Raw genomic sequence first — 17,368 nt, 5'->3', positions numbered from 1 at the left:
CTCAGTCCTCATGGTCTGGGTGGCACTGCCCCCTCCCCTGCGCTGCACAGAAGGCCCGCACCCCCACCTGGCCAATCAGAGTTGCCAGGTCATCTCCCTGACTACAGCACCTGGTTCAGGGATGGACACAGCCCAGCGGAGTTTGTGCTAGAACTGCTGGGAAATGGGCTTTCACCTTCTGCTCATCTTGGCACGTGGATGCCAGCTTGAACTGTGGAAGGTCACCCTGTGGGCAGAGCCCCTGAGACACAGGCAGCACAGGAAAGCAGAGTGGAATGGGGGCGGGGGAGTACTTCCTGATGACATCATCTGAGCCCCTGGATCCAGCCGTGCCTGAAGCAAACTACTCTAGGCTCTACAGATCTATGGACTCATCAATCCCTTGCCCCTCTACTTTTTTGGCTTGTGTCAATTTATATTGAGATTTTGTCACTTACAACTAAAAGGGTCCTGAATCTAACTCATTCTTTGAAAGTCTGCCTATCAATCACAAAATAGCAGTGTGATCAGAGCTGGATACCATGGGCAGGTCTCCTTCCCTCTGTGAGGTTCTATGGAGAACACCCTACATCTTTTTAATTATTTGTCATGCACGGGCCCTATGGATTTGAGAGATTCATGGATGCCACGTGGAATCAGTCAATGACCCTCACTTTCTCAGGCACTACCTAGGGCATCCTCCAGGATGCGCCCCTTCCCGGCACAGCCCACTGCCATATCTTGCTGGAACCTGGGTCATCGTCCATCGTCTATCACAGGCTCCGCCAGCCTTCGTGGATGCCATCTATGTCCGTGGGTCTCACCCGTCTCGCCACCAGCTTCCACTACGACGCTGGACAGTACACAGGGAGCAGACGGGGATTCCAGGAGGAAGCCACTGCAAATAGGGCCTGCAGCTGCCCTCTCTCCTTCTGAAATCCTAGCATAGTCCAGGACACAGCACCTCCCTGGCTGAGCAGCTGAACTGCCAAGCTCAACTCCCTGATTGAGCAGATATTCTGCAGAAATAGAAAAGGATGGAGGGAAGGCTTCTTCCCACACAATGAACATCAAACCCACCCAAGGGGCAGTGGCTGGGGCCTCCCTTCCCAAACAGCTGGCTCAAAACATGCACAAAATTTTCCCAAAGTGGGCTGGGAGCAGGGCAGCTGGCTTCCACTTTCATATTACTGATGCATCCAGACATACTTCCATAGTGTTTAAAAATTTTTGGATGTATGTCAAATGCTCTTAAGAGTGCGATCTTAGGCATGTGGTAAATAAATATGATGTAATCCTCCCGTCTCCAAGGGTGCTGCTGCCCTCTCCCTCCCTCCCTCACTGGTCCTGGGCAAGCCCTTGACCTCCACGATCTCTCTGCGCCTCTCGTGACGCCCACAACAAGGGGCTGTGCCAAAGGGAAAGGTAGAAAGAAAAGAGGATGTGCTGTGTGCTGTCATCATCCCTGTGCCAGAGACAGGGCACAGGGTGGTGGCCTTGCACCACCGGCGCATCCCCCACATGGGGAAGCTGGGGTCACCCTGCACCACAGGCATCCCATCAGCCTCTGTGACACTGACAATGATTCTCGTGAATGGACAGGCTGAATGGTCCTCAGCCCTCTCTTTCTATGCTGGCTGAACTCTGAGGCGGGAACAGGACAGACAGTGGCTGGAGGCCCTGGCAGGGAGGGCACCCTTCTAACAGGCCCTGCGTAGCCGAGGGCACCAAACTGACAGGCAGGACCCCTGAGCTCACCACGGCCTGCCCTGGGCCAGGCAAGAACGAGCACGTCCACCCATGAGAGTTGGGGCTGTGTAGGTGACTGTAGACATCACCCACAGTGGGAGGGTTCCTGGAGGTGACGTCCGAGGCTTGGAGCGCAAAGTAGGACAGGCACACTGCCAAGTTCCCAGAAGACTGAGTGCCACCAGATCCTGTGGCCAGTCCTCAGTGTGGTGTGGGGGGCTCAGCAGGAGCACATCAGCAATCAGATGGGCCAGGTCAGGATAAAGAACAGGCGTGACAGCTGCTTCCTAAATAATCAACGGTGGGTGCCCTGAGTAGCACCTCCTGCTGTGCCTGTCCCCAGGGCAGCAGGGGCTCAGCGCACTCCCACATCTGCATCAGAGCCCCAGTCCCTCCTGGGCCCCCTTGTACCCTCTAAGACTAAGCTCGGACCCCGCCGGGAACCACCCCCAGGACCCTACCTCAGGCTGTGCCACCACCGTCCACCTGGCAGCCCCAGCCAGAAACCTGGAGGCCACCCTGGCTTTCTCCCCTCCATGTCTACCTGTCCCTCAGCCTTCTTGTGGCCTGGCTACTCCTCTCTCTGCTCCGCCTCCTGGCTGGCCTTTAATGTAAACAATCCATCTAACAGCTGAGCCCCACTCACGACAATGCCCTCTCCTTTCCCTGACCCTCAGGGCCCTGCTTGGCCTGGCTGACCTCTTGACACCACAGCCAATTCCTCATGGGTCTTGGGTGCCCCCCACTGGGCTCCCTCTCTGCCCAGGGTGCCCTTAGTGTAGGAGCTGGGGTGCCTGCTTTCCCCACACCCGAAGGCCCTTCTTTGTCCCTCGCCCAGCGGCTCTAACTGGCAGTGCAGCCTCAGTCAGCATTGGTGGGTGCTTCCTGGTGGGGTGCACCTCCTCCCCAGGGCTCCTGCTCCTGTCCGCATCTGTGTCCCTGTGGCTGCCAAAGCAATCCCCCTACCCCCAATGGCTGGGAGGCCTGGCAGATTCAGCAGTCGTGTGGGCTGGCCACCCACTGGGGTCAACAGAAAGGGCATATGACTGCCCCAGAGTCTCACAGTGAGCTGGGCCACCTCACAGTAGGGTGATTCCCTGGTCAAGGCGGTGGCAGCACTGCTGTAGAGACTTGTAGAGATGAGAGTGCTGCTGCTCGGAGACGGAGTGGCGGGTACGACTCGGAAAGCTCCCGAATCTCACCTCCTTCCCTCCTCCACCAACCCCAGGCCTTGTCCTACTGGTAGACCCGTGAATGACAGAGACAGCAGGAGAGCTCAGGGCCGCATAGTGGGAAGGGGTGGGGCCTCGGCTGGTACCCAGGAGGCCTGAGTGCCCACCAGGGCCACATGCTTAGCACACACTTAGCACAGGCCAAGCACATGATAGCCACAGCATGCCCAGCCTGAAGCTGAGACGATGACACAGTCTGCTTTCCTTCCTCCCACCTGCACCAGGCCTGTCCCTCTGTGCATCTGAGCCCGCCCTTTAGCCCCAGGGCTAAACAGAACAGGCCCAGAACAGGCTCTCTGCCAGGGCGTGGACTCGCACAGCCGTGTCACGGTGGCTGAGTGAGGCTTGGTGTCAACTCTACCTCTCTGTGCCTGCTGGGTCACCTGGGACCAGGTGTGACAAGCCCAGCTTTATTCTCTTGTTGAGCAGAACAACAGATCCCCCCAGGGCTGGAGACAACACTGAGGTGATCACAGGACTCACCACAGCTGCCTGTGAAGAAACGGCCCCTGCCCATCAGCCCTGGGGCAGCCACCGACAGGCAGGTGCCGGCCCTGGCCCACTGGCACATCACTTGGGCTGCTGTCAAAAATCAGGACAGACAACACCTCTCAGCACGTGGGCATCCACGCTCCACACAGGACACAGTTTCCCCTCTCAGGGCTGCCATGAGGAGTCCCGCCCTGGCACAGGGACGCCCAAGAGCCTCACAACTCCCTGCAGTCTCCTTTCTAGCCGGAGTCACTGTTTCCTTTACCTGTCTGGGCCCAGGAGCCCCTGAGCTTCCAAGCCCCGACCCGTTGGCAGTGGTTCCCCAGGTGGCAGGTGACTTGCCAAGGCCACAGAGCCAGGATGGGAAGGAAGTGTGGGGCTCCAGCCCAGTGACGTTTCTGAAGCAGCCCCTCCCCAGCCTTGCTGAATGAAGGGCTGAAAAGGGGGTCAGTTCCTCAGGGAGGCAACCAGAGAAGGGCAACCCCAAGGCTGCTCTTCTCCTGTTTCCCAAGTGTACAGGCCAAGGAGCAGCTCAGATGGGGCTCCGACGATGCCTCCTCCAGGCAGTCTTCCTGATGCCCTGAAGAGTGACCAGGCCCTCCTGGGGTGCCCCTAGGGGACTGCAATGTGGGTTGTCCCCCGCGCTACATGAGCCCCAGAATGTAGTTCCTTGTTCACTCCTGTCTCCCATATTGCTCAGGGCTCCCGGAGGGCAGGACTGAGCCTTCACTCCTGTCACCAGGGCCTGGCCAGGCACTGATCTAGGGACAGGCCAACCTGCTCTGTGCACTTCTCTGAGCCTGGGACATGGGGATCCCTGGGCGCAGATGACCTGAGGCCCATAGTGAGCACAGGCTCCACGGTATGTTTAAATCTCCCCTCCACCCTTCACCAACCACGGGACGCTGGGTCATCTACTTAAGCCCTCTATCCCTCGGTTTCCCATCTGAAAAACAGGGCAGCAGCAGAGCCTGCCTCCCAGGGCTGTTAAAGAGGCAAGTGGGCTAATGCCCTAAAAAGATGCCTAGCTCGGGGAAGTGTCAGTTAAATAGCTACCCTTGTTGTTACCTATTGGTATTTCAACTGATGCTCACCCACCTATGTTGGCTGGATGGGGGAGCTAAATAACAGATTCTCGCAGCAGCTGCTACTGGCAGGGACCCTGGGCCCTGCCCTCCCTGCGGCCACTGGGCATGCAGGGCCAGGCCTGCTTTGGCCACATCAGTGACCAGTGACTGGGAGACGGGATGCCCACTGCCCCCAGCTGCAGGCCCAGTGGTGGGGACTGGGCTGTCAGGCGGCGCCCAGGGCTTGCTCTTCACCACCCCCACATTGGAGACCGAAGCCAAACAAACCACAGCTGCTTCCTGACTCTTCTTATCTGAAACACACAGTCTTGGACTCTGTCCTTTGCGGGCTGTTCTCATTACCCAGATTGAAACCAAGCTTCCGAGCCCTGGTATCTGTTCCCCTGAAGCCGTGAGGCTGGGCCCAAATCCCGGGGTCAGGCCCTCATCCGCCCAGAGGCCTCCAAAACAAAGCAGAGGAGCACAGTGATCTTTTAAGGAGATGCAAAGACAAACAGGGCCCAGGGCTGCAGTGAGTTTCCAAGGGCACGCCCAGCATAAGTGGTACATGGGAGCCTCAGCGCGCTGCGACCACAGCAGGGAGGCCCCACGGCCCTGCCAGTGGGGTGACTGGGACAAGAAGGAAACCTGGACCACTCGAGCACCTCGTCTCTCACCCGCTGGGTCTCTTGGGCAAGTCACCTAGACTCGGTGTCTCAGTTTCCCCTCTCAGGACTGCCATGAGGAGTCCTGCAGGCACATGGAAAAGGCTGGTGTACACAGCAGGCACTCACCATGGGTCTGGGGCTTCTGCATGGGCAGGAGGGGCAGTGATGAGCTGGGACTGAGCCTCCCTGGCAGCGGCCTCTCTAGCAAAAGTGAAGGCTGACCGAGGCCTGAGTCAGCTGGAGAAGGTGCCCAGGGGCCGGACTCCCCTGGCTCACACCCACCACCCTCACATCACCACCCAGGAACCAACAAGCCTGTCAGCTCTGCCTGTGAACACCAAGGGCCTCAGCTCTGCTTTGAACACCCAGGGCCTCAGTCAGCTCGGCCTGTGAAGACCAAGGGCCTCAGTCAGCTCTGCCTGTGAACACCCAGGGCCCCAGCATCCCGCCTCAGGATGGAGGTGAAGGACGCCCGTCCCTCACAAGTCTCCCTCAGGGAGAGGGGAAACTCAGCACCAAGGGCTTCGCCCGCATGTGGCCTCACTCCCGAGAGTGTGGCTGTCACCTCTGGCCTGCCACCCTAGTTGGTTACAGAGGGCCCGTGAATTTACTCCACATGTTTGGACGCTGTTGCAAATGGAAGCTGTGAAGTGCTGCAGAGGCCCTGGGAAGAGAAGGACTGCAGAGGAGTGGGGGCACCAGCACCACCTCGAGTGGGTGCCACAAAGGTGACAGGTGCAAGGCTCTGAGGAGGTGGGTAGCCCCACTGGATGGACGCCTGTGCACAGCATGGGAGCTGCACAATGCTGAACTGCAGAGGACCTGGCGGGGGGACCCTCCAGGGGTGGCTGAACCCCGTTCCCACCCAGCTATCCCTGAACATCCCCAGCCTGGGCTTCCCAGCCTGCTCCCTTACCGGTGCCGTCTGCTCTTTCCCGGCTCCTGGTATGCTGGGCCTGGGGTTCAGCGGGGGCCGCTGCGTCTCTAACACCAGGGCCAGGGCCAGCCTGGGGTCCGGGTGCTCGGGGCCTTTCGCTCCTCTCCTGCTCCAACGAGGCTGTGGCATTGAGTCGGGAACGCGCCTGGGGCTGCGGTGCTGGCGGGGGCTGTGGGCAGGAGGGGCCCAGCGGAGCAGTGTTGGAGTCCATCCTGCCTGGAAGAAAAGTCAAGGTCAGGCACATCCAGCACCGGCAGAGCCCGCTCTGGCACTTAGTGTCTGCTGGAGACAGAAAAGCAGAGGGAGGCAGGTGGGAGCTGCCAGACACTCCATACAGGATCTCGCTGACACTCAGTACAGTCCCCATGGGCCAGCACCGCTTCCAGGGAGGAAACCATGGGAGGACACTCACCCACGTGACTCTACAGATGGCATGGCACTTACAATCTCAGACCTGCACATGCCGAGGCCTGGAGTCCCTGCCTCACTGGGCATGAGCCACACAACCCTGGCCTTCCCTCATCCAAGAAACGGGGATGATGATAGCAACACCCAGAGCCCACCCATGTGGAGCCTGGCTGCAGGGGGCTGAATTGGGCCCCACATCATGTGCCCACCAATGTCTGTGAATGTGCCCTTATTTGGAAAAACAGGTCTTTGAAGATGTATTTAAGGATCTTGAAATGAGATCAGCCTGGAGTAGGGAAGCCCTGGCTCCAAGAGCTGATGGCCTATAGGAAGAGAAGTGTAACAGAGCCATGCGGAGACGGGTGACAGTGGCCAAGGAGCAGGAGGACCACTGGCCACTGCCAGAAGCTGGACAGAGGCGAGGAACTGAGCCTCCCTCAGAGCCTCCAGGAGGGACCCACCCTGCCCACACCTTGACTTCAGACTTCTGCCTCCAGAACCATCAGAGAACAAACCTCTGTTGTTTTAAGCCACCAAGTTTCCAGTAGTTTCTTACGGAAGCCCTAGAAAACTAATACGCTGGTACTGAGTAAAGTTAAGTAAATATGAGAGGGGAAGGGAGCTGGGGAGGGGAGAAGAGGGCAGGGGAGAGAAGAGAGGGAGCCAAATGGGTGGAGCTGGGATTCATACCCAGATCTGCCGCTCCACAGCCCCCACCCCAGGCCCAAGCCACAGCACCGAAGTCAGAGGACTGATGCCCCAGAAACCAACACAGAGAGTAAAAAGCAAACTAAGGCAAACAGTGCGGTGGGGGCATCAGAAGAGACTAGAGTGAGCAGAGATCCCGTGACCCGTGTCACGCCGGAGCAAGGGCTTTATTTTATTCAACAGAGGCCCTCACATGCTGCTTAGCAACATGGAAAAACACCACCATCCCTGTAATGAAGGACAACCACCGGCCACAGACACAGAGCTGAAAGCGCTGCAGGATCCCGAGCCCCGGACCCGGATGGGCCCTGGATGAGCGGCGTTAGGGGTGGGATGCAAACCCCTGGCACTGCTGGACCTTGAACCTGCTGCTGTGTGAGGCTGTGGAAACTTTTCCTCAGATTCCCAAATGACCCTCCCAAGCTCAGGGCCACAGCCATCCTCTGAGGCACAGAGCAGGGAGAGGCTGGTAACAGAGAGTCTCGCTCCCAGCCCCAAGCTGCCGCAGCGCTGTACTCCTGGCTCTGTGCCCACCAGCTGTGTGGTCCTGAGCAGCCCACATCCCGCTCTGCACCTCAGCCTCCTCATCTGAAAATGGGGACGGGGCAACTGTGAGGACCAGTGAGACCAGACACCATGGGCAGCACGAGGGAGTCCCCTGGCCACCTCTGAACACCCAGCGCTTGGCACTGAGCAGCCAGGTCTGAGTAGGTGCCCAGAGGTCACTTTTGGGGGCAGCTGTGACTGGAAGAGTCAGGAGTGGCCCCAGGCTCCACACACAACAATTTCTGCTCCATTCCCGCTGCAAATGAGTCCTAAAGATCAGACTGGTGTCGCTCAAGAACTCTGCAGATTTCAATCCACACGTTCCTCCCTCAGAGGGACTGAGCCCTTAGTGTAAAACATCCCCCAGGTGCAAACCATGCATGGTCAAGCACACCCCCCCCCCCCACCCCACCCCCGTGCATCCCCCAGGTGCAAACCATGCATGGTCAAGCACCCCCGGGTGCATCCCCCAGGTGCAAACCATGCATGGTCAAGCTTGGGAGCCTGCTCCATCCTGTTTCCAAGTTCCCAGCTCCCGGGAACTGGCACCTTCCACAAAAGCAGCCATTTAACTGCACGTGCAGACCTAAGTGTCCCCTTAGTCAGCTGTGGCAGAGAAATACAGGATCGCACGTAGAACCCACACGCTGTGGGCAAACAGAACCACGGTCCTGCAGGCCACCGGACCACCTGAGATGGTGAAAAGTCAGGTCTTCAAATGACACGTGGCCTTGTCTACCTTCTCTCCCATGGTTCCCACTGCCCCGAAGTCAGGTGTCACTTTCTCAGACAGAGAGAGAGGGCACCTTTACTGAGGGCTGACCTACGCCAGGGCATCTCTGCCATCAAGACCAACGGCTCTGTTCTCTGTACTTGTCTTTTCTCATGAGTTTCTCGTATGGCCCTGGAAGGTAGGTCCTATTGTCGTGAGTTCCTCGCATGGACCTGGAAGGTAGATCCTATTGTCATCCCAGAGTTATAGATGGGGAAATGTTTTATCCTTCAACCTCACCCCACTTCACAGACAGGAACCCAGGTGCAGGGAGGGGAGGGACCTGCTCAAGGTCAAACAGCTCCAGGTACCAGACCTGAAATTCAAATCCAGACCTGCCCAATTCTAATGCTTCTGCAAGCTCATTTCTGAAAAAGACGACTTTGAAATCAGACCGCCATGCCACTGCACCCTCTCTCCCGGGGCCCATTCACTGCAAAACACTGGCTACCCTTCAACATCAGCATACAAATGCTGACCTCCACACTTCTGTTTCTGCAGGGCCCTCTTCCCGGAATGCCTTCTTACCCCCCTCCCCCAGCCTAGACCCTAAGCACCCTTCAAGTCAAGAGCTCCAGCGATACCTCCTTTGTGGGAGCTTCCAAGCTATGTCTGTCCCGAGTCCCTGTCTTCCTCACCTACTCAGGTAAACACACAGCACTCAGGCGATCACCTCTCCATCAGAGCCCTCCCTCTGCTAGAGGTTACAGCTGGAAGCAACATGGTGTGGGGCGTCGGTTACCCTTACTAGTGGCCACATGACCTCACTGTGTCTGTTTCCCCATATGTAAAATGGGGATAGCACCTCCCACATAGGGGTGCTATGGGGATTACGTGTGTGGCAGAAGAGAAAGCAAACTATTGGGCATTAAAAAAAAACTAAGCCGGCCAGGCGCGGTGGCTCACGCCTGTAATCCCAGCACTTTGGGAGGCCGAGGCGGGCAGATCACAAGGTCAGGAGATCAAGACCATCCTGGCTAACACAGTGAAACCCCGTCTCTATTAAAAATACAAAAAAATTAGCCAGGCGTGGTGGCGGGCGCCGATAGTCCCAACTACTGGGGAGGCTGAGGCAGGAGAATGGTGTGAACCCAGGAGATGGAGCTTGCAGTGAGCCGAGATCGCGCCACTGCACTCCAGCCTGGGTGACAAAGCGAGACTCCGTCTCAAAAAAAAGAAAAAAGAAAAAGGAAAAGAAAAACCCTAAGCCATTACTCCCAGGTGCTAAACAAAGGCATGTTCAGTTGGAAAACACTTCATAAAAGGAATTTCAGGAAAACAGATTCTAGCTGGCCTATGTACCATGTATGTCACACTGCAGTTAAAAAAAAACTGTTTAAAGTAAAATCTCTGGTTAGTAAGAATGGATGAATACAGGAGGATTAATTTTCAGGTTCCCTGGGGGTTGGCCAAGTCTGGTTTGGATCAAAGGGCTTGTTATTTCAAAACAAGCACAACAATTCCTGGTCATGGTTGGTCACAGGGACAATGAAGATCAGAAAAGATCTCCCGGTGGAAGGACCTGCTGTCTGGTCCTTCCCTCTCTGAGTCTTCCTGCATGTTACAGCCACTGTGAGCCCTGAGGGCAGGGCTGCAGCTTATCCACTCGGAAGACCGGCTGCCTTGCCAGGAATACGTTAAGCACTTAATGCATGTGGGCAGAAGCCTGAGGCAGCCTGGCCTAGGGCAGGAGCACCATCCAGGCAATAATGCTGTGGGACCTTAGCAAGTCCCTCCCCCAGACCCCAGCATCCAGGCATCTCCAGCTGCATCCACTCTGCACCCTCAGATCCCCACCTGCACGGTGGGGCACTCAGCCCCAACTCCCTACTGGTGACCACAGCAATGGCTTAGAAGCCGTCACTGTGTAAGATCCACAAAACCAAAGTTGCTAGCATTCTTTCCTCATGAGCAATGAGGCATATTTTTATCCCGTCCAAACACAAACACCGGCACCAAGGAGTTCAGCTGAGAGGCCGCCACCTGGAGAGGGCTGCAGGCACCATGCATCCACTCAGACCCGCAGCAGAATGACCACACGTGGCCTTCTGCCCTAAGGGCTCTGGCCCTCACCCAGGCCACCCCCATTCTGTTCTCTCTGGGGGGGCAACCCCATCTCCCAAGCCAGTGCCTCAGAAACAGCCCCTGTGGGAAGCCAAGATGATGTTCACTCTCTCTGATCAGTGCCTCTGCCTCCAGGATGCCAGTCCAGGGGAGTCACTGGAGATGCCCTCGGGGCTCACACACAATGTCCATCATATGGCACTTTCAGCACTGTCCAGAAAGGGGCTGGCTATAAAGCCTACACCCCTCCATATGGTGCAACGCTGTACAGCTGGTAAACGTGACCTCGTACATGAACGTTTTGAGACAAGGAAAAGGTGGGCCTAACACTGTTAAGGCAGGATTTAAAGCAGCAGAAGATATTAGCCGGAGTCTGTTTAGGATGAAAACAAAATTTATCTGCCAAAAAACGGAAGAAAACGCCCCCTAAAAAAGATACTTGTTGTCTCTGGGGATAAAGCTTATGCGCGGTTTCATTTTATTCTTCTTTTAAACATATTTCCCTAGTTTTCTATAATGAATGTGTGATGTTTTTGAAATTAAAGCAAATGTTATTTTAAAACCCATCTGTGAGCAAGCTCTAAGGGAGCAGGCCCAGGAGGTCCTGGCCCTGGGATGTCTGCTCTGGCCTGGCCTGACCCAGCCCCCTGGCACAGGGCTGCTCCTCAAGACAAGGGCACAAAGCCCTTGATGGATCCCAGGTACCTATTTTTGCTCAGAGTATTAAGGGACAAACCAAGGAACATTCCAGCTCTATCCAATGTGGCACATTCACAGGAACAGAGGGGTTTGAATTGGGACTGCCCCAAGCAGCATTCATGACGGCCATAGTGGCCAAGCCCCCACCACACACCTGGCACCTGCTCCAGGCCTGGCCTGGATGGGCAGCAGGTGTGGACTGAGGGTAGGTCCATCTTGTGCCAAGCACTGTGCTGGGCCCCCCTGCCCTAGAGAAGTCTTGTCCAGGGCCAGCATTGGAGCAGCTTCATCTAGATGGGAAGGGTTAACACCTAAACAGACACCCACAAAGACGGCACAGAAGGGGGCCCTCACTCCACTGTGGGAAGAGGCAGGCCAGAAATCCTGCAGGAGGACTTGACTGAGCCTTCTGGACAAGCAGGCAGGAGCCAGGCAAGCTGGGAGGTGGCTGGGCATTCCAGCAGGGGTTGTGCCCAGAAGAGGAGGCAGCAGAGGGACAGTGAGCCAGGCTTGTGGCCAGGAACACGCAGGTGGCTGGGAGGTGACTGCTGGAGAGAGGACACAGGAGGGAGAGGCTGAGTGAGCAGCGAGGCGGGTCCCTGAGGGCCCGAAAGAATGCCGGCTCCTGGCTCGGGAGGCGGACCTGACCCGATAGCCCAGAGGGAAGTGGCAGCTGAAGAACCAGCAGGGCTGCGTGCAGCCAGGCCCGGATCGGGACCAGGGAGGAGCCTGGGGGTCGTCCAGGGAGAGGCGAGGGTCCTGAACCAGGGCAGGCATCCGAGTGAGGCTCAGGAGCCAGGAGAGACCCAACTGGGAGTGAGGAATGAAGGGCACAGGGGGTGGTCTGGTTTGTGGCTGGGGCTGGCTGGCTGTGGTGGTACCACTTCCGGAAGTAGGGAAGTGGGAGGGGAGGGGAGCCGTGTAGGCATAAAGCTCCCGACCTATTATGATTCTTATTGCCACCGTCAAGGATGGGTGTTTCGGGTCTGTCTGGCAGTGCAGACATCTCTGGGGGTTGAGACTGAGCTGAGGTCCCCTCTGTGACCAGCCCCAGAAGCCTGTCCAGCACTGGTCCGGGATGGGCAGGGGAGGCCTAAGTCAGAGACGCCCTCCATGCTCTTCCATCCTGGGAAAGAAGGTGAGATGGGGTCTCCCAGCCAACTTTTCCTGTGTCTGCGAAGGGAGGACAAACCAGCAGGTAGGGAAAAGAGGCTGAAATGTGGAGAAGCCTCCCTCCAAATCCCTGGTTGGATACAACGGAGACCCCATGGGAATCACAGACCCTTGGACACAGAAGTAAACAGGTGGCGACAGTGACAAAGGTGGCCTCTGGGCTTCCCGTGGGCTCCCTCTCCTGCTGCAGAGAACAGGCAGCCAGCACATGGGGTACCCAGGGCACAGCTCCTTGAGTGATGGATGCTGGCATAAGAGAAAGCCCTTTACAAACTGCAAAGCCCTGGGCCAAATGCCAGGGGTCACTGTCCAAGGTGAGGAGAGACGGGGCTGCTTCTGGAGAGATAGGGCAGAGGCCTCACACCAGGCTCTGCCCCATCAGCTTCGTGGTCCTGGGCTGGCACCAAACCCTGCTGAGCCTCAGCTTCCTGGGGTGTCAAACGGGGACTATAACTTCTCCGCCTAAGGCTACTGAGAGGGTTAAATCTGGGTGGTGGGGGGTTGCACAAATGCGACTTCCTTGGAATTCATAACATCATCTGCTAAGTGGGTGAGAGGCCAGGGCGCCATCACATCCAAAAGGGCTGGGTAGGATTCTCCAGAAAGTTTTCGTTGATCAAACAAAAAGCTAATGATCCAGAGGGTGGAGTTCATACGAGGCAGGGTCCAGGTGCTGCCACTGAAACCCCTCAACTCTCTACTGAGGGGCCCCGAGAGAGAGAGGAACTGCCACAGCGCTCCTAAGTGGGCTGTGGGGATTCAGAATGACCCCTAAGCTGCCCCTCGGGCGGGCCGGGTCCCCCTGGGGGACTGAACCCCCCTTCCCCCCCACAACACCTCCCGGGGGCCCAGGCGCGTTCCAACGGCCGGGCGGGCACCGAGGGCGGCCGTGGGTCCCGGGACCGCGGGGGAGGGGCATGACGGGGCAACTCGGGGGGGATGGCGCGGGGCGCGGGGAGGGGGCCTGCCCGCCGGCCGCTCCGCCTCTCGGGCCTGCTGTCCCGCCCGCGGCGGGGCTCCAGGCGACAGCGCGCGGGGGACCGGGGCGCGCCCCCCGGGTGACCCGTTCGGGCCCGGAACAGGGGTCGCCTTGCGCGTTGCAGAGCGGGCGGGACCCCCGGCCCTCCAACTTCGGGGACCTTGTCGGGACTTTGGGGCCAGCCACCCATCAGCTCGGAAGGGGAAACTGAGGCCCGAAGAGGACAGTGCCTCAGGGCTCTTGCCCGCCTCCTGCGCGCTGCCCACAGCCACCGCGCCACTGCCCCAGCGCCGAAGTACTCACCGGCCCGTGAGTGGGCCGCACGCGGCGCTGCGACGCCCTGGGGCCTCTGGGCCGGCAGAAAAGTTGTTCGGGAGCAGCTGAACGCGGCGCAAACGGGAGATCTGCGGCCGCGGGGGAGCAATCTGCACTCGCTGCTGAAGAGCCGGCTAGCGCGGCCTTCTGCACGAGGGGGCGGGGCAGGGGCGGGGCCTTCGGCCTCCCTCCACTCCAGACGCGGCCCCCCGGATGCGGCGCCAGCTCGGCCTGCTGAGTGGCCGGTGTAGCCGCCAATCACTCCACATCTCCGCCAATCACGGTGCGCCTCGCCTAGCTGCGGCCCGGCACTCCCCCTGCGTGGTTGGGCCCGAGGGGCCAGAAGGCGGGTCCGGCTCGCCCACAGCGAAAGTTTCCGAGCGGACTCGGGCCCCGGCCCCGCCCCCGCCCCGCCCGCGGAACGTCCAGTTGCTTAGCGAGGCCGCTCGCCTTCTCCTGTAACAGGTGGTTTGGACCCGTGGAAAAGGCTCCGGCCACCTTTCATCCACCACTCCGGCCTCAGCGTCCCCAACTGCAGATTCATTATATTTGCTGTTGCAATATTAACACACGTCTTGAGCGCCTATTCCGGCGCTGCAAGAGAGTCTAAGGGCTCCCCTAATAACAGCAGCAGAGATGGAAAAATGGGGCCTGTTTGAAACGAGTGTCTGCAGCCAAGTACTGCTTTCAGTGCCCAGAATCAAATGCAGTGTAGCAAGCTTTTCACACGGTGACTGTGGGATTCCTTTAAAGTGTGTGTTAGCCCAGGGAGTGGGCAAGGCTCAGGCAGTTTGGAGACTCTGGGAGTTTGGTTCCTGTCTGGGAGGCGTGGTTTGGAGATGAGGGCGAGGGTCTATCCTTGAGAGGCCCTGGGGAACGTGAGACCCTGCCTGCTCTGTCTCTGGTCCCCACAACCAACCTGAGCTACCTGTCCTAGTTATCACAGCAGAAACTGGGGCTCGGAGTGACTGTCAGAGATAATGCTTACCAACATGTTGGGAGCAAATATTCCAGATGGCTTTGGAGATGAGTTCTGAACACACTACTTCGGAGGACTTTTGTCAAAGCGGCGTAGTTCATGTCAGTCACCTCATTTGATTCTCCAGCTGCCCCCACTGCCCACCCCCGATCCCCAATGTTCACGTGTGACCCTGTGAGGCTCACAGAGGAAGGAAGAACACCTGCCGTCAGCCTCGCCTGCTCTGTCCAGGTTGGCTTAGGGGCTTTCACAGCTTTCAAGGGCCCCCCTAGTGACCCAAGGAGGGAGGTGGCACTGAGCCCATTTTTTATTGATGTGAAAATTGAGGCTCAGACATAGTTATTTGCCCAAAGTCTTGAAGATGTCTTTCCACCTTATCACACACTAACTGTAGAAAATTTGGAGAATTACTAAAAGTAGAAAGGAGAAAAAAAATCACTCAAAGATGATCACTGTTCACATTGTGAGATTTATGCACATTTAAGAAAATAATAAATATTAATGTGAACACACAATCACAGAGAGGCTGAAGCACTTCCCAAACCCTTTGCAGGGGCTCATTAAGCAGAGAGAAGAGGACAGATTGAAAAGTTCCTCCTGTGGAGGTCTAAGGGAAGAGAGGAAGTGCAACAAAAAATCTACAAGATGGCTTAAGGAGCCTCTATCAGAACACAGCAACACTGAACATACTCCACGGAGCTAAGAGACTGAAAAAGCAACAGGCAAATTCAGAAAGAGAAGAGTGGAGGTGAGGACAAATGAGCAAACTGGAAGATAATGTGGAGTAAATGCTTCATGATGTAGAGGAAAAGCACATGAAAATCATCAGGACAAAAAGCAGAGACTGGAAAGACAGTTCCAGGAGGTGTATTGCACAAAGGACAGGTACTCCAGGAAGAGCTGGAGGGGAAACAGAGGTGAGCAAAGTGCCAGGAGAACGTGTCCCTGGAAATCCCAGATGCCAAGGATAAAGAGACGGTCTTGCAGAGTTCCAGAAAGAACAGGTCACATCTAAGGGGAGAAAAGTTGAAGTGGTTCCTAGGGGACTTTGGAGCAATGTCCAGGGACTCTGATGATAGGATCAAGGATCCTTACCATGGCTACTACAGGATTCATCTATGTGGACAAAAGAGAGAAAATATCCACTGTGGCAAGACAGAGAAAGGACCTCAGTGATGTCCCCTTTCAGAGGAAGATATTCAGAGTTCCCCCGTCACCGAGACAGTTCAATCACAGTAGAGATTTCAAGATAGAGCAAACGCTCAGAACAGGAAGTGGTGTTAAGCAATGACCCTTGCAAAATATACAGTATGGATAATCCACATGTGCCTGTGATTTTGTACTAGCAGTGCCACATAAGGATTCTTAAAACATAAGCTACATGCTTCAAGAGAAAGTTGTATTAGCCTGGAACTAAAAAAAAAAATAGAATCTTATCACAGAGAAGTCAGAATATTTTAAGATCACATTTGGTTGAGGGGAGAAGGAGGAAGTAAAAGGATCTGATTTGGTGAGTGGGGAAGGAAAGCCTTATTGGTGGTTGGGAGGGGTGCTTCATTACCATTTACTTTTAATACATTAGCAGGGAAAGATTGGTTTAATTATGACTCTCAGCTGGGGAAGGAAAGCCTTATTGGTGGTGGGGAGGGGGCTTCATTACCATTTACTTTTAATACATTATCAGGGAAAGATTGGTTGAATTATGACTCTCAGGAATTGGAAAGTAGCAACTCACGGGAAAGAAGCAGAGTAGAACTCCTGAATTACTAGGTAGAAGTTGGGGGAGGGGTGGAGGGAGAGTAAGGAAGCAAAATTAAGGGGGAAAGTAAATAATAGCAAGAACAATAAGCTTAATAATAGTAAACATAAGATGAGATAAAATAAATAAAGCCATGGCTACCCGCCTTCGTAACACGGTGAATGGGCTGAATTTCCCATCCAAAGTCTGTAAGATTGGGGCAAAAACTAAAGTCCAGTTAAGCGCTATTTACAAGAAACACACCAAAAATATTGAGAAGTAGAAGATCACAGCAGACATTTGAAAAATGGCAAATTACTATTGATAAGGAAGAACGCATGATGGAAAGCATTCACGGGAAGAGTGGTATTATGTAAGGGTGCCAGGCACAATCCACAAAGATTTCATTGTCATGAATCTGAATGAGCCAGAAAATCTAGTAGCCACACACTTAAAGCAGTAACTGCTAGAAATACTAGAACTTATTAAAACACAACTCTGGTGGGAGAAAGAGCCAGCTGTTCAATGCTATCTTTTCTAGGACACCTGTCCTCATTCCCCCAAGAGCTGAGCTCTGCATGTTGCTGCTGAGTATTGAATGAATGAATGGATGGATGGATGGATGAATCACCTATGCAAGGACTTCATATAAGCTCTTTCTTGCCCATAGGACAGTGTCCAAACTCTTTAACCTGACATCCAAATATACCCCCCACAATTCAGTCCTTTGATGTCTGCCCATGATTTTCAGACTCTGCATTCAAGTTCTTGGCCCACTTCCTTCCCTACACCTATTTAAAACCTACTTCCATTTACTCAACAAACATTTAGTGACTTTTGGCCAGGCGTGGTGGCTCACACCT

At 55.9% G+C, this 17,368-nt stretch overlaps 1 protein-coding gene across 2 annotated transcripts in view, besides 2 other annotated features; it reads right to left on the bottom strand.

Annotated features, from left to right (window-relative positions):
* Positions 1-13,941, bottom strand: part of WFS1 (wolframin ER transmembrane glycoprotein) — a 33,416-nt gene extending 19,475 nt beyond the window's left edge. Inside the window, exons 1-2 of one of the 2 annotated variants that reach the window (NM_006005.3) lie at positions 13,777-13,941; positions 6,104-6,340 (exon numbers count right to left, since the gene is read on the bottom strand). In NM_006005.3, the coding sequence (NP_005996.2) occupies positions 6,104-6,335 (232 nt within the window). In that variant the 5' untranslated portion in view covers positions 6,336-6,340; positions 13,777-13,941. The remainder of the gene's footprint in view (positions 1-6,103; positions 6,341-13,776) is intronic. The other variant, NM_001145853.1, reaches the window with a different exon arrangement.
* Positions 10,384-10,933: an enhancer, noted in NCBI's record as "H3K4me1 hESC enhancer chr4:6274585-6275134 (GRCh37/hg19 assembly coordinates)". NCBI's record gives its function as "activates a minimal SCP1, AML or CMV promoter by ChIP-STARR-seq in naive H9 embryonic stem cells {active_cell/tissue: H9 hESC(naive)}" and the evidence as "EXISTENCE:reporter gene assay evidence [ECO:0000049][PMID:30033119]".
* Positions 13,854-13,963: a silencer, noted in NCBI's record as "silent region_15229". NCBI's record gives its function as "represses an Ori minimal core promoter by ATAC-STARR-seq in GM12878 lymphoblastoid cells {active_cell/tissue: GM12878}" and the evidence as "EXISTENCE:reporter gene assay evidence [ECO:0000049][PMID:35858748]".

Source organism: Homo sapiens, chromosome 4 (assembly GCF_000001405.40).
Source record: "Homo sapiens chromosome 4, GRCh38.p14 Primary Assembly".
Classification (NCBI taxonomy): Eukaryota; Metazoa; Chordata; class Mammalia; order Primates; family Hominidae; genus Homo; species Homo sapiens.
This window is presented reverse-complemented; position numbering and strand designations above follow the sequence as displayed.